General features: G+C 49.3%; 1 protein-coding gene across 4 annotated transcripts, besides 3 other annotated features; it reads right to left on the bottom strand.

The window, feature by feature from the left end:
• Positions 1 to 241: 241 nt before the first annotated feature.
• Positions 242 to 14,534, bottom strand: S1PR3 (sphingosine-1-phosphate receptor 3). 4 transcript variants are annotated; one of them, NM_001395848.1, is made up of 3 exons: positions 14,213 to 14,534; positions 13,702 to 13,927; positions 242 to 4,343 (listed from the first exon to the last, which is right to left on the bottom strand). In NM_001395848.1, exon 3 carries the CDS (start codon positions 4,194 to 4,196, stop codon positions 3,060 to 3,062), a length of 1,137 nt encoding a protein of 378 aa, NP_001382777.1. In that variant the 5' UTR covers positions 4,197 to 4,343; positions 13,702 to 13,927; positions 14,213 to 14,534; the 3' UTR covers positions 242 to 3,059. The 4 variants fall into 4 exon arrangements, 2 of the variants coding, with proteins under 2 accessions (NP_001382777.1, NP_005217.2); NR_172883.1 differs by lacking the exon at positions 242 to 4,343 and adding an exon at positions 9,255 to 13,545 and having other exon boundaries at positions 14,156 to 14,534; NR_172882.1 differs by lacking the exon at positions 242 to 4,343 and adding an exon at positions 9,255 to 13,545.
• Positions 5,850 to 6,349: an enhancer, noted in NCBI's record as "H3K4me1 hESC enhancer chr9:91613963-91614462 (GRCh37/hg19 assembly coordinates)". NCBI's record gives its function as "activates a minimal SCP1, AML or CMV promoter by ChIP-STARR-seq in naive H9 embryonic stem cells {active_cell/tissue: H9 hESC(naive)}" and the evidence as "EXISTENCE:reporter gene assay evidence [ECO:0000049][PMID:30033119]".
• Positions 6,350 to 6,851: an enhancer, noted in NCBI's record as "H3K4me1 hESC enhancer chr9:91613461-91613962 (GRCh37/hg19 assembly coordinates)". NCBI's record gives its function as "activates a minimal SCP1, AML or CMV promoter by ChIP-STARR-seq in naive and primed H9 embryonic stem cells {active_cell/tissue: H9 hESC(naive and primed)}" and the evidence as "EXISTENCE:reporter gene assay evidence [ECO:0000049][PMID:30033119]".
• Positions 14,089 to 14,383: a silencer, noted in NCBI's record as "tiled region #209; K562 Repressive non-DNase unmatched - State 10:DNaseD". NCBI's record gives its function as "represses a minimal TATA promoter and a strong SV40 promoter by Sharpr-MPRA in K562 cells {active_cell/tissue: K562}" and the evidence as "EXISTENCE:reporter gene assay evidence [ECO:0000049][PMID:27701403]".
• Positions 14,535 to 14,909: the final 375 nt, after the last annotated feature.

Raw genomic sequence — 14,909 nt, 5'->3', positions numbered from 1 at the left:
CAAAGGTTGGTTCTGACCTATTCTCTCCTGCTGCATAAACAACAGCAAATGGGGCAGGACAAGAGGTCCCATGTCTTTGAGCTGCACTTTTATTACCATGGGTCTTAGAAATTTCTCCCTATCAAAAGACCATTCTCAAAATAGTATGACCTACCAAAATTGGTGTAAATAGCACCCAAGGCACAGACGCTTCATTAAAATACCACCTATGATAGTGGGTAAGAAGAAAGGGGAAAGGTTATTTGGGGTTCTGAATGTGGTTTAATTCCTGAAATGCTAAGAAACACAGGTGGGTAGCAAGCCTGCAACAACAGTGCGCACCCCTGCAGTGGGGAGGGCACCCGGTGAAAACGATAAAACAATCCCATCACATGGACTACGAAGAGTGGGTTTCCACAAAGGCTTTTGGTTTTATTATTATTATTTTTAACAAACATACATTGGAAATAGTAAAGGTTTCTAATTGAAAAGAGACCTAATGCATAGTTTCTCTGCAGCATAGAAGACCACCTGTTTCCAAACTTCAAGGTTAGGGCTTTGAAACATTCCCTGGTAAATTATCTCCAGCTGGCTAGCTAGTTAGGCATATTGGTGCACATTGGTATCAAAGGTGATTATTTTTTGCATTTAGCAAATGAGCGCTATTACTTTTTTGATGTATTTTTAATTCAGATTGCTCAAAAGTCTTGTTATTTCAAGGGAGCCTTATGTCATACCACAAATATTGATACCTCCTAGTGGAAATGGTGGCTGTGGGCTCCCTAGTAGAGTTAATGGATGAAGGCTGAGATACTTAGATACTGCGGACATCAGGGTTATGGAGCAAAGTGTTATGAACAATAGCTACAGAGAGCTCCAAGTCTCCCAAAGCAACTCATAACTATAACACAGATAAAGTTCCAAAGTCATTTCATCACCTATGTGAAAATGCAATACTGAATGTTTTGGCTCTCTGATGCATTTTGTTGTTGTTTTATTTATTATTATTATTATTTTTTGAGACAGAGGGTCGCTCTGTCACCCAGGCTGGAGTGCAGCGGTGCGATCTTGGCTCACTGCAATCTCCGCCTCCCGGGTTTGAGCAACTCTCCAGCCTCAGCCTCCCGAGTAGCTGGGACTACAGGCACGTGCTATCGCATCCAGCTAATTTTTGTATTTTTAGTAGAAACAGGATTTCACTATGTTGGCCAGGCTGGTCACAAACTCCTGACCTCAGGTGATCCACCCGCCTCAGCCTCCCAAAGTGCTGGGATTACAGGTGTGAGCCACTGCGCCCAGCCTGTTGTTGTTTTCTTAATCCAGTACTTTAACGTTTTACTGTCCTAGAAATGCCCTGTGTTTTCTCATGCTATTTCATAAGAGAATATGCTACTTTTCATTGATGTCAAGAAGGCAACAGAAATGCTCCTGGGGAAGATCTCCTTACAAATAGGTTTCATCTCATCAGTAACAAAAATTAGAAAAGCCTTTGGTCAGCCCATGGAGGTGAGTTACTCTGAACCTATGAAAATGTCTCTTTATAAGAGCAAATTGCATCAGATGACAAAACAGGAATCAATTTCTCTTAGAAAAAGTTAGTAATGTGTTAAGACTACTCTTTTAGGTTTTATTCAGGCAAATGCTCACTGAACCTAAAATACTTTAGGGGACTCTGATGGGAGGTTCCTTTGAACGCTGGTTGGTTTTGTCCTTGTTTTTAAAGAGAACTCAACACAGCAACTGTGTGCTTATGAAAGTTCTACAAACGTGTTCACTTTTCTTTCCATCTATTTGTATAATACGTACAATCCTTGGGGAAGAGCATGTACAAAAATGTCTTCTAAGTAATCCCTTTACAAGGTAAACAGACTGCTACGGGTTCAACTTATGTTGAAAAGTAAAATTACAGCATCACATAGGTATTATTACATTACTCTGAAGAATGCATAAACTGCCAGATCACATTTTCTAACCTGAAAATTAAACTTCTTTCACTGATAGTCACGATCAGTGCCAGCTTTCAGGATGCTGTGAAACTGCCGGTGGCCACAGCTACTTAGCTGTGATGCCACGGGGGATTACTGACTTGCTGCTTTTCTAATATAGAAACAAACTCAACATAGAATCAAAGTGCTGTCTTGTGAATCTCTGCTCATTTCCTGGACAGCTTCCATTTCCTGAAGCAGACCCCTGCCCCACTGGCGTGGGAAGGTGAGCCAGGCCAGCCGTCTGCTTCTGCTTCTCCTTCATAGGCTCTTTCTTTGGCCCATCTGGGGGCACAAGCTCCTGGGTGATCTTGGCTGGCTCTTCTGTAATTTGCAGAAACCTGAAAACCATCACATAATTGGGCTTTGGAATACGATTAAAATTACGCAGGGACAAATGACTGAAAGGACAGGACACAGGGCTGGTGTGGGTCAGACCCACACATCTGGGGCCAGCCTTGGACAAGCCTTTTTGGGGAATTTGAACTTTTAAAACTTGGTTAACATGAGAATCATGTCAGTCTAAGGAGACCAGGGATGGCATGTCCACCTAGTTCAAAACAATGTCCTTGTACTGGGGGTTCAGTCTGAATCCACTTGTATAACCTGTTACCTGTGTGTTGTATGGAGATTCTATGTAGGTACCACATGGCAAACACCTGCAACACAAATTCTGTGTAACATAGAGATGTACGAATATACAAGCATCCATTCTACGCACAGGAAATGTAGTGTAAAATCATCAAAACACCATTCAGAGGCACACGGAGAGGGTCACACAGCATTGTGTGGCCCACGACCTTCCCTCTCTGTGAACAACAGGGAGGGTGTCTAGGATGCAGCAGAAGGCAGTGGATGATGTCAGCAGCTTAGTACATCTGAAAGACTCTGGAGCCCAAAGTGGACAAGGCACGTTGTTTACACTGAAGCGGGGTGGTGATTCCTTGGGCCCCCTCTGTAAGAGACATCCACACTGGGCAGGCTGTTGGTCAAAGTAAGGTAGCTCTCCCGAGTCACAGCTCTTGAGGGGCCCCTGTGGAAGCGACGCATGCAATAAATAAGAACACAGCCGCAGAGCAGGGCGCATGGAGACGATCAGTTGCAGAAGATCCCATTCTGAAGTGCTGCGTTCTTGTCCATGATGCAGGATGAGGGGGCTGTGTGGGGCAGGTCTTCCTTGACCTTCGGAGAGTGGCTGCTATTGTTGCTGCTGCTTGATTTACTTCTGCTTGGGTCGAGCGCAGGCTGGATGGGTGAGGCGCGGGCCCCCCGTCCCCTGACCAGGCAGTTGCAGACCAGACGGAAGAAGGCCCGCCGCATCTCCTTGCTGGCCAGCGTGTAGATGACCGGGTTCATGGCGGAGTTGAGCACAGCCAACACGATGAACCACTGAGCCTTGAAGAGGATGGGGCACGCCTGCACCCTGCAGGCCACATCAATGAGGAAGAGGATGAAGAGTGGGGACCAGCAGGCGATGAACACGCTCACCACAATCACCACGGTCCGCAGCAGTGCCATGGACCGCTCCGAGTTGTTGTGGTTGGCCACCTTACGGCTGCTGGACTTCACCAGGAAGTAGATGCGTGCGTAGAGGATCACGATGGTCACCAGGATGGCCGTGAAGATGCTGATGCAGAAGGCAATGTACTTCTTGGAGTAGAGGGGCAGGATGGTAGAGCAGTCAGGGAGATTGTGCAGGCAGTTCCAGCCCAGAATGGGCAGGGCGCCCAGCGTGAAGGCAATGAGCCAGCACATCCCGATCAGGAGGAAGACGCGGTGCCTCTTGTTGGCGTCGTAAGGCCTCATTTTGATCATTGTCAAGTGCCGCTCGATGGCGATGGCCAGTAAGCTGCAGGTGGACGCCCCAAGGGCCACGAACATACTGCCCTCCCTGAGGAACCAGACCGTGGGAGACAGGCTGAACGTCTTCTTGCCAGACATCAGAATGTTGACCTTGTAAGCGATGCCGGCCAGCAGGTCGCAGAGAGCCAGGTTGCCAATGAAAAAGTACATGCGGTTGTGAAATTTATTGTTTTTCCAGATGGCAATCAAAACCATCAGGTTCTCCAAGACGATGAAGCTGCAGATGACCAAGAAGAGCACGGTGGTGAGCGTGCTGCCCTCGGAGGCCTCCTTCAGCCTGCCCGCCAACTTCCCCACGTACTGGTAATGCTCCCGCAGGGTCTCGTTCCCCCGCACCGGCTGGAGACGCGGCGGGAGGGCAGTTGCCATCACTTGGCATTCACAGACGATTAGCTCCAAAATCCACGAGAGGGCGCCCCAGGAACATTCATTTCAAAGGGAAGCGGGGCTGAGGTTCCGGCTTCATTCAGCAAGGCGTGCAGGCCAGACTCCAGCGAGGGCGTTGAAAAAGGGCTCCTGCCAACAGATAAAAAGAGGGAGCGACCATTGATAAAACGATCGCCGCCTAAGGGGCCACGGCAACGCTGTTGGAGAAAGGCATGAAAAACGTGGAAGTACTGGGATGGCTAGCCACGTCAGGCTGCAGAGAGGGTCTTTAGACACAGGCTAAATTCCTAAGTGATTGGGGGACACCATGGGAAGCGATTTGGTGTCTGGAGTTGCCGGGAAGGGAAATTCAGTGCATGAATTATTGAATCCTGTAACAAAGATACACAGACCCAAGTACAGCTTCCATCTGGAAATCTCCAGGCACTAGAAAATGCTAACTAGTCCTCATCTAGGGCATGGGAGCTGGTGACCCATTATCCCAGTTACTCAGGGAAAAGCAGGATTTTCTCAGGACCAAAAAGCAGGATGGAATCTGAATGATGCCGGTTCAATTTCTAAAACCTCCCTGGTGAGTTTTACAGTGACATCGTGGGAAGATCCCGCACTTCCCAGATGGCATCCCCTGGATCCAGGCCCAGAAATCAGGTCTGTATGGGCTGTAGGTCGGCCTGGCAGAGAGCCCTGAGGCCTGACCATGCAGCCATCGAGGGACCAACAGTGCATGTCTGGGCAGTGCCCATGCAGACACCGCACTCGTGAGCAGTGAGTCCAGAGCCCAGCGAAGACAGAACATCAACCTGCAAAAACGGGACCCAAGTCTACAGATGATAAAGGAAGGACAGGAAAGCAGTGACAATCACACTGACTGAGTCTGGCTTGAAATTCAGAGCCCTGAATATCAAATAGAGCATGGGTGCATGTGAGCCAACAGAAAAGTGGCACATTTGGGAACACAGCGAGAGAGGGAAAGTGGTGAGTGAAGGCCTCAATGGATTCTGAATTCCAAACTCTTCCCCCACGAGACCTCAAACACTTGCACTCAACCACACCTGGTAATATCGATCAGCCTTCTGTGATGTTGATGACGCCACACACCCAACTATCAAGGTAGAAACCGCTTTCAGTGGACTCACTTATTTTATTTTATTTTTTATTTTTATTAAAAAAAATTTTCTTTTGAGACACAGTGTTGCTCTGTCACCCAGGCTGGAATGCAGTGGTGCGATCTCGGCTCATTGCAACCACTGCCTCCTGGGTTCAAGTGCTTCTGCTGCCTCAGCCTCCCAAGTAGCTGGGATTACAGGCACCCGCCACCATGCATGGCTAATTTTTGTATTTTTAGTAGAGACGGGGTTTCACCATGTTGGCCAGGCTGGGCTCGAACTCCTGACCTCAAGTGATCAGCCTGCCTCAGCCTCCCAAAGTGCTGGGATTACAGGCATGAGACACCGCACCCAGCCATCATTTATTATTTGAGTATTTAAATATGTAATTAAGTTCAAATGAGGCTAATTTAAAAGAGCCTACTGTGTGTATCCAGTGAATTTTTTTTAACTTTTACGATGTTTGAACCACAGCCCTAAATTTGCTTCAGAGACACATGAACAACTCACCAATACTATGGGCTCTGCATTTTAGGGTGTGATTGACTCTGAATCTCATCCATGCATGAGTTTATTCCCAGGTACAAATCAGTCCCTTGAAGATCCAGGGCTTGCCTGGGTGGGGCTGAGAAGCAGAGGTGGCTCCAAATGGTTTCTGTATCCTCGTGACCCTCTGGAGTGCTGAATGCTGTCAAAGCCCTCCTCTCCCTACATCAATTTGGGGGACCTGGATTTTCTGAGATGGCCCCTTGCTTCTTTGCAAAGATTTTTTTTCCAGTGTCCTGGAGCTTGGTGGTGTTGGTTGCTCTGGAAACCCCGGGGGCGGGGGGTTGGCGGGGGGTAGGATGTCTGAGCTGACGTCTGTGCTCTGCCTGGAACTGCCCTGACCCTTCCCAGCTGCCGCCTCCTGAAGTCACAGAGGCCTTGGGTCGAGGTCAGCTGGAATGCCAAGTGCTGGCAGAAAGGCTTATGTGTTGGCCAAGGCCCTCTGCTAACTGCAGAAAGAAAAAGCAGCCAAGTTCCAAGTCCAGGCTGATGATGCAGGATGAGAGGAGGTTGCCTGCCCAGATCTCTCCCATCACTCATGAGCCATGACAGGCAGCGCAGGGCCCGGGGCCTGCCTCCTCGAGCTGTGGCTCACCCATGCCAGCCCTACTTGGCTTCCCATTCACCTGAGAAGAGACCATGTCTTGCCTGTAGGTTCTCCTGGAGGCAAACAGGACAGTCCAGTGGGCAGCCTTCCCCCCAGCCCCTCCCTCTCTACCGTTTCTGAATTTTATTTAAATCTTGCCCATCCTTCAAGCCTCAAGTCAAATTCCACTTGCTCTGTAACATTTTCTGGAATCATGCCAGCCCCTGGTGACTTTTCTCTGAGGCTGCATGCCACTTCTGAAAACGTACTGCAAACTGTCTCTTTAAATGGGGCAATACCACAGTCAGCAGCATTTTCTGAGCATTGAGCTTATCCATTAACACAGGGACTTTCACCATGGGTAAGTTCACAGTACCCTCCCCAGCATCCTGTACACTGATGGGTGCTAAAAAGATACTGTCCTTTTAGTTGTTTTTGTTTGTTTTTTGTTTTGTTTTGTTTTGTTTTTGGGATGGAGTCTCATTCTGTCACCCAGGCTGGAGTGCAGCGGTGCGATCCCGGCTCACCACACCCTCCGCCTCCCCGGTTCAAGCGATTCTTCTGCCTCAGCCTCCTGAGTAGCTGGGACTACAGGCGCCCGCCACCATGCCCGGCTAATATTTGTATTTTTAGTAGAGACGGGGTTTCACCATGTTGGCCAGGCTGGTCTTGAACTCCTGACCTCAAGTGATTGCCTGCCTTGGCCTCCCAAAGTGCTGGGATTACAGGTGTGAACTACCACACCAGGCCTAGTATTGCTTATTATTTCTTTCTTTCTTTATCTGTGAACAGGAACTGGAGAATCACTATTTCTGATTTTCACTTTGCTGGGTTTCCACCCCTGATCAGGGGCCTCTCAGGGACACATGTGCTATGCCCGGCATGCACCCTGGCATGAAGCCGGGTATGAAGACAACCTGGGCCATCAGGCTGTCTCCTGCCACCTCCGGTACCACTGCACAGTGCTGATGGGGACCGCGAGGGCTCTGCCGTTTCCCACACGAACAGCCACTCATGCTCATGGAAAAGGCATGGAGCAAAGGCAGTCTGTGAACAGTGCCCTGTGCCAGCATCCTCCCTCCCATAGCAACTGGGGCCAGAGCCCTCACCATGCTGCCAAATGGATGACCTGCCCGGCTCACATTGCAACCAGAGGGGCCATCACCTGGCAGACAGCCAGCTATCCATGACACCACAGTGTCCTGGTTTATCCTACAGATTGCTGGGATACCCACTCCAGTATGTTGGGTTTCTGTCCCAGAAACCGACAAGCTGCAGACAAACCTTGGTTCCAATGTCAGTGATTCCTGAGGCCCCTTTTCCCCAGCTCACGTAGGGATTCAAGTACAGCTCCATGTTCCTCATCCTTTTAGGTAATACTGGCATGTCGTTATGATTCAGACTGTTCTTGTACTAACTCAGCTTGCCTCCTGTGCCTCAGTTTCCCCCATGACAACCTGACCCTACCATTTTATACATGTCCTGTCTCCTCTGAACCTTCTCCACACCTTTGCTTTTGCCATGCATCCAACAGCCAGATGTGGACTTGCTCCCGGGAATGGAGAGAAGAGGGTGAATAGACCCACGGCTTATACAAAAATTGATCAGAGCAGAAAACAAGCAAACAATTAAAAACTAATAACCAGCAATAAAATAACCCCAATAAACATAGTATAAGATTTGCCAGAGACCCATCAAAATCATGAATCTTGAGGGCAAACATATTTTCCCATTAATGTTTGATTTATCATTTCCCTTATAATTAAATATTCATCCCTCAAGAAGCATATTTGTCCAGAACATCTTTTGTTAAATATGATTCTCTGCATTTTGCATAAGTGGAAGATATCTGGCTGTCTTTGGAATCTAAAAGCTCATTTTCTCTGGATTATCAACATTTACAAAGCAGGCCTCATCCCAAGAGTTAAGTGCTGGGCTAAAGGCCAGATTGATTTTGGATGCGTCTACACATTATTGCGCACGGTTAAAAGCATCTCATGGACAAGAGTTCCCCTCCGCTCCTGAGGGGTACCAGCCACAGACCTCAAGTTTGCTAGAAGAAAGCTCAAAGCCCACCCCGCCCTGAGGCTCCTGGAGTCAGCAAGCCCTACTCAGGGCAAGAGGGGAGTCAGTCACTCTGGCGGATTGGTACTAACACTGCCAGGCACGGCAGGAGTGCTGGGCACTGCAGGCACCAGCAGGCCTGGGAGGCTGACCTGCCCCACCACACAGAGATCAGTGAGACCAGCACCCAGGCCAGCAACAAGATGGGCCGGACCCTGCAGCCTTCCTTGTGCCCCTCCTAGTCACCACCTGTCCCCAAGCATGACCACTACCTGGGATAGGACTCTCCCCTAGGTGAGTTTAGCCTGCTTCTGACCTTCACGTGAATGAAACCCTACAGGATACAATTGTGTCCATTGCTTTCCTCTCCCCATGATGCTTGTACGAGTCATGCACATAGATGCACCTGCATGCTGAATATTCTTGCTCTCATGGTGTGGGTAGATACACTACCCTCTATTCATTCTTGTTTATGGACATGGGGTAATTTCTTCCATGGCCCATGTGTTGATTATCATCAAGTAGCACTGCTGGGATTGATTGAGGATGTTCTCTTGGCGAACACATGTCCATGTTTTCGCAGGTCGATGTTGATTTGTGAGCGGTGTGTTGGTGTCTGAGATGGGCTTTAACCATGACTCGGAGGCACTGGGTTTCTCAGACCCCAGCCAGCCCATCTTGCAAAACTGGTGTGGGGAGAAGGGGCGGCCCCTAACAGAGGGCAAGACTGATGCAGTATTAGTGTTCACTCTTTGCTTTATTCCAAAAGTAAGTGTCCAGAGCTGGCAGTGACATTGTAAATTTGATCGCGGCTTAAATTCCACCTGAACACTTAGAAATAAAGCCAGATGCTGAGACATATGGCTTTTTGCAGACTAGTTTTGCATATATTCAGAGAGCTTGGCACATTACGGAAGACACAGGAGTACAGACAGCTGCAGGGTAGAGACGCTCCTCCTCATTAGCGGTGGTCTTCTAACCAATACAGATGCTGACACTGGGCTGCTCCCACTGCCCACCTCCACGGCACATCCTTGCCTGGTCGTTCCACTCTCTTCCAAGTGCTACACTAACACATCTCCCTGACCACCTGGGAAGACCCCCGCCCACCACCCAGCTCTTCAAGAGACTTAAGTATTTGATTGTCTGCATCTTCAGTCTTTTCATGTTTACTGAGAGACACTGCTTACATCTGAACTTACCTGAGTTCTACTCAATAAAGACCCCATTAGCTAAGGGTTTTCATGTCATCCTCACTAAGCTGGGTTCATCCAGCCTACCTCAAAGCATTTTAATACCAACACATTTTTTTTTTGTCGAGGAGGAATAAGACGCCTTCTGGAAGATGAGTATGCAGTGGATGACCCCAAGTTAGACCCTGCCAAGGTCAGAGGTGCCTACCTTCCCCCAACTTCCAAGGAGAAACATTGCTGGGAGGAGGGTGAGCCAGAGAGAGGAGGCCGGATGGATTCCAGATGTGCTTTCTATACTAGCGATTCGCTTTCTCTACCCATGTCAAGTTGAAAAATAAACAAACTATAAAAGGAAGAAAAAGAGAAAAAATAAAGAAAATGTTTCCACAGTCTGGTCTCCTTCCCAACACCCCCCTTTCTCTCTCCGCATAAAAGATAGGCACAATAAGATAGTAAGATAGCATCTTGGTCAGATGCAGGATGCTATATTTTTAATAGGCATGTACTCCCAGGGAAATTAACTAGTTCATCCTCCAAACTGAATCAAAACACCAAACATATGCCAACAAGCAAAATTTCTTGGAAAGCAAGATGTTTTTTAAAATTTCATTTAAAATAACTTGGAAAGGAAATAATGAGTCGGCCGTTACAAGGCTCCAGCAAAATTCCTTTGCTAATGAGTATTTTCCCTTGCTCTAGATTTCTTGGGTGACCTCGCTCTGCTTTTGGAGACAGTCCATTGCAAAATGCATGCTTCACACACCCAGCTGCACAGGCTTGGCCCATTAATGCAGCTCCCCTGAGAAATAACAACTGTTACAGACAAACCAGGTGAGGGTTTTGTATCTTTTCTCCCTTCTCTTCTTCAAAGCATGCAAGTCAGTGCACTTCCCTGGTTAGACTTACTGCTTCCCGGTGGCTTTTCCCCAAGTCCTTCTCCATCACAAATAAGGCTGGGACATTATGAGCTATCTGGGCATAGTCCAGGGAACCCCAGATATGGAGGCTGTGCCCCAGGAAACTCAGGCCCCGGCCCCGAGCATCTGCCTCCGTGAACACCATCCTGAGCTTCCAGACTTGTGTGTGGGAAGGCAAGTGCGTCTGAGCCAGGAGGTGTTTGACCGCTTTGCCTGTCCATGAGTCTTTTTAAACCTTCTCCATTCTGCTGCTGCTTCATGACAGCATAGGATAAATGATTCTCAAGATTTCCACAGGGATGAATCCACAGGGATGTGGAAATAGGCTCTGTGAGGTGGCTAAAGGCACATTCAAATAAGAGGCATCCTGCCCACGAAGGCTACCGGAGATCCTTCCTATCCCTTCCCAAAGCGGCAGTCTCACCTGGTGACTCGGCATGCGTGCCACCTTGCACCATGGACATAGCACACATGGCCTCATGGCAGCATCTGCCTTCTGAATGTACACAGGAGGAGACCGAGGCTGGGGGAGGGGGGGTGTCACTTGTCCTTAGTCACAGAGCTGGGAAGGGGCTGGGCCGGTGTCCGTGCCATCTGATTCCAGGATGTCACATTAGGGATGAGCTCTTTGGGAGGCTGCCACCTTGCCACTGGTTCTTTGCCTAGGTAGTGACAAGAGATTCTCTGGCATGTTTTAGAGACAAACTGCCTCATGCTCCCATGCCAGCAGAATGTTAGCATGTCATTCTGGGGGCACTGAAATATCTGGAAAATTTTGAAGCCAGGAAAATGGAGCGGCATCTGCAAGGCCGAAGAGCACCATCCACTGCTTGAGGAGCGGACCGTCACCTCGCTGTGTGAGCTGACCCCAGTCCGGCCTGTGAGCAGTGAAGATCCACTCACTGGGCACCAATCTGCACTGGACAATCTCGTCACTGATTTAACCCAACTGGCCTATTGTCTCTTACAGACACAGCTTCAATGCCTCAAAAATAGGATTCAAAAAAGGGAAGGAGACTTTATGCCCAGTAGCTATAACAGTAACATCAACTGAAACATGTTATTAACTGAAACTAGATACGATTCCACTCAGTCTATTCTTTTTCTTTTTTCTCAAACATTATACATTTCCAAAAGCTTAAGGAAAATCTTAAGGCAATTAATTTGGCAGAAAACATATGGCAGAGGAATAATAGGAAATGCCTCCAAAACTGATAAGAAAGGAATTACAAAGCCAAATATGAAGAAACAGAAAGTTTCATAGAACCCACAGCACAGCACCCTGGTTCCAGCTAAGGTAAACAGACTGCATAAGGCTGGCGGCCTGGCTCTGGTAACACTTGGGAAACAGTACAAAGTCCTGGCAGTTAAAGGGTTCTACAGCAGGGCAACCTCAGATTTTTCAAGATTGTGGCATGCTCAAATTCTCCTTTTTTTGGTAATAAAAATATACCTACAGTATATAATAAAAATATACATACAGCACAGGCATTGAGGAAGATGAAAGAGATACCATGAAATCAAGTTAATGTCATAATTTCCAGAAAGAGGAAACCAGTTCCTGAATTTTGAGAAATAAGATCCTTCGGCCACTATGTGAAGTTTCTTCTATAGGAAACTGTAGTCTCTACCCTTTGTATATGGTAGAAAATCAGAGACTCATGCATTTGAATAAAAATCACAATGATAAAGGGAGAAATGGCACTTTCAAAGATGAAAACTGGTTGAGAAATCATTCTCTCTAAATCTTAGGGGGAGGCTCTTAAGGGCTAGCTTCAGTTTGTATCTCTGGTGTTAGGTGATGGAAGTGATTTCAGAGGCCCAAAGTGAGTGCTTACTGGTTTGCTAATGAAAAAAGCCTGACGTGCGGTTCTTCTTCTATGGCAACAAAGTTATTCAACCTAGCATTAAGGTCTGCATCCATGAAATAATACTTTACAGATATGAACACTTCCACAACTCCTCAAGCGCACACACACACACACACACACATGCCCCGCACCATCACCACCTCCTCAACCAACACCAGCCCTGGGCATGGCCAGCTATCCTTGTTAGTCATGTATCTGCAGAGCATAATCCTTCCCTTGTACTTTCTAGGAATTATATTTTTCTTAACTATGCCTGCAAGATTTTCATCTATGAATAAAAAACATTGAAAAGATAAATTATGAATATGTGGTTATATACAAAGTCTGTGACTTCTAATGTCCAGATTTTAGAATGATGCCTAATTCTGGAGGTCTCAGAGGTCCAAGTGGGAGTGGGTACCATGAATGGGGGGGCCTCCATTTAAAAGTAACCTTCTAAAGAGCTCTCTGTTCCTGTAGCTCCCCTTTCCTTATTGGAAGGGTCAAAACGAAGTGTGTTCCCTTAAAAATCCAACAAGAAGTTCCTCTCTTATATCCAAATATAAAAACACCACAAAGAAATATACCATTGGGAGTGTCCAAAGCCAGAAAGTCAGAGGAAGAGAGAGAGAGAGAGAGAGAGAGAGACTGACTATTGGGAGACTCAAAAAGCCCAAAGCCCCTTCTCTAGCTGTTATCTCAGTTACGAACACAACGTACTGATTTTCCGTGGGAACCTCATTATTGCACTGTGGGGACTTCGTCTTCCAGCACCGATTCTGACGGCCCTAATTGCCTTGTTTGAGAAATGTTAGGAAAAAACTAATTTTCCGGCGAATATTGTTTAAAAGAATGATTTTCCCAGGCTAACGACCACAACCCTCTCCCACGTCCAGCATCCCCAGGCCCTGGCACTGTGGAAGCCTAACTTGTTAATTGTCCAAGGAAAACGACTGATGGAACTTCTCCACGAACAGCCTCTCCACTTTCATCCAGGTATTCAGCTCCAGCCCGTTGTAAACGCTCCGGGTGCGGTGGAAAAGGCCTCCTCCCTGTTCCTGCAGCGGCTCTGGGGGAGGGGTGCTGATGTGGAGCGCTCCGGCCGCCGTGGCGCGCCCAAGTCCCCGTCGCGCCCGGGATCGGTGGGGATTTTGTTGGAAAGGTGGGTCCTTCGGCCCCCAGCCCCCCACCCTGGTTCCGCGCCCCGCCCGGGCCCGCCTCTCACCTCCGTCGGCTGAGGGCGCTGGGGCCACCGGCATCCTAGCGGGTGGCGCGCGGCGGTGCCGGGGCGCCCGGTCCTGCGCTCGAATGCCAGATGGGCTGGGAGGCCCGGCAGTCTCAGCGCTCGCGACGTCGTTCCCGGGCCTGGGGTCCTGCTCGGTCGCGTCCTGCAGCCGCCTTCTGGTCCCTGAGTCCCTGTTGCCCGTCCCCGGAACCGGCTTCCTCGGCCTCTGCCCGAGCGAGTCAGAGACTAAACTTTTCCAGCGGCCCGCCGGGGCGGGACCCGCGCTCCGCCCCTCCCCTCGCCGCCCCCGACTCCCGCCCCTCTCCCCGCCCCCCTCTCCCCGTCCCCCGCCCGCGAACCCGGCACTCCTCCAGCTCCCCACCTCCCGCTCAAGCCGCCTGGTCTCCGTGCGCCCCGCCCGCCCCTAGCCTGGACCCCTTCTCCCCGACCCTACCAATCCCCTAGGGTCCGGCTCGCCCTTCGGCCCCTGTTCCCAGGCCGGCCTCCAGACCTTGTCCTCATCGGGCGAGCTCCAGGTGCAGAAACCGGGCGCCCAGAGACCCAGCGGGAACAGGCTTGGAACCAGGTCCGAGGTCTGGGCTTGGGCGGGCGCCTGTCGCCCTGACAGCGAGGGTTTGTTTGGGCCGATTCTTAATAGGAGGATTAATACTATCATTATCGTTGTCCAGATCCTGACCATTTCTTTTGTAACTGGCCGAGCACCGGCTTGGGCTTGCAGGTGGGCGCCTGGCGCCGGACAGCGTTTTTGTTTGGGCTTCTTCCTTTTCCGCGCGGGTCCCCTCCGGCGCCTGCCTGGTCCCTCTCCGCGCTCTACCCCCAGGCACGCAGAGACTTGGGCTCCAGGCGGGGGCAGCACTCTCCCCCAGCCTCTGCTGGTGCACCAGAGCCCACTCCGGCACAGAGCAGCGCCCCTCCTAGACCGGCAGCCAGCAGATCTCAGCCGACCCCCATGCGACCCCCTTCCTCACGCGGATTTGCCCCTTTTGTGTGGCAAAAATAATAATAATAATAATAAATCCATATGAAGGCTTCAAACAGAATTCCGAGAGAAGGAACTGCCAAATTTTCAATCAATGCCAAAGGCCATGATTGAGCGAACACAGAAACAACTGTAGAAGCTTGGGGAGAAAGGAGAAAATTAAAGAAAAAGGAGGAGGAGGAAAAGGAGAGAGGAGAGAAGCGGGAGG

Source organism: Homo sapiens, chromosome 9 (assembly GCF_000001405.40).
Source record: "Homo sapiens chromosome 9, GRCh38.p14 Primary Assembly".
Lineage (NCBI taxonomy): Eukaryota > Metazoa > Chordata > Mammalia > Primates > Hominidae > Homo > Homo sapiens.
Note: the sequence above shows the minus strand (reverse complement) of the source record. Positions and strands in the feature narration are given on the sequence as shown.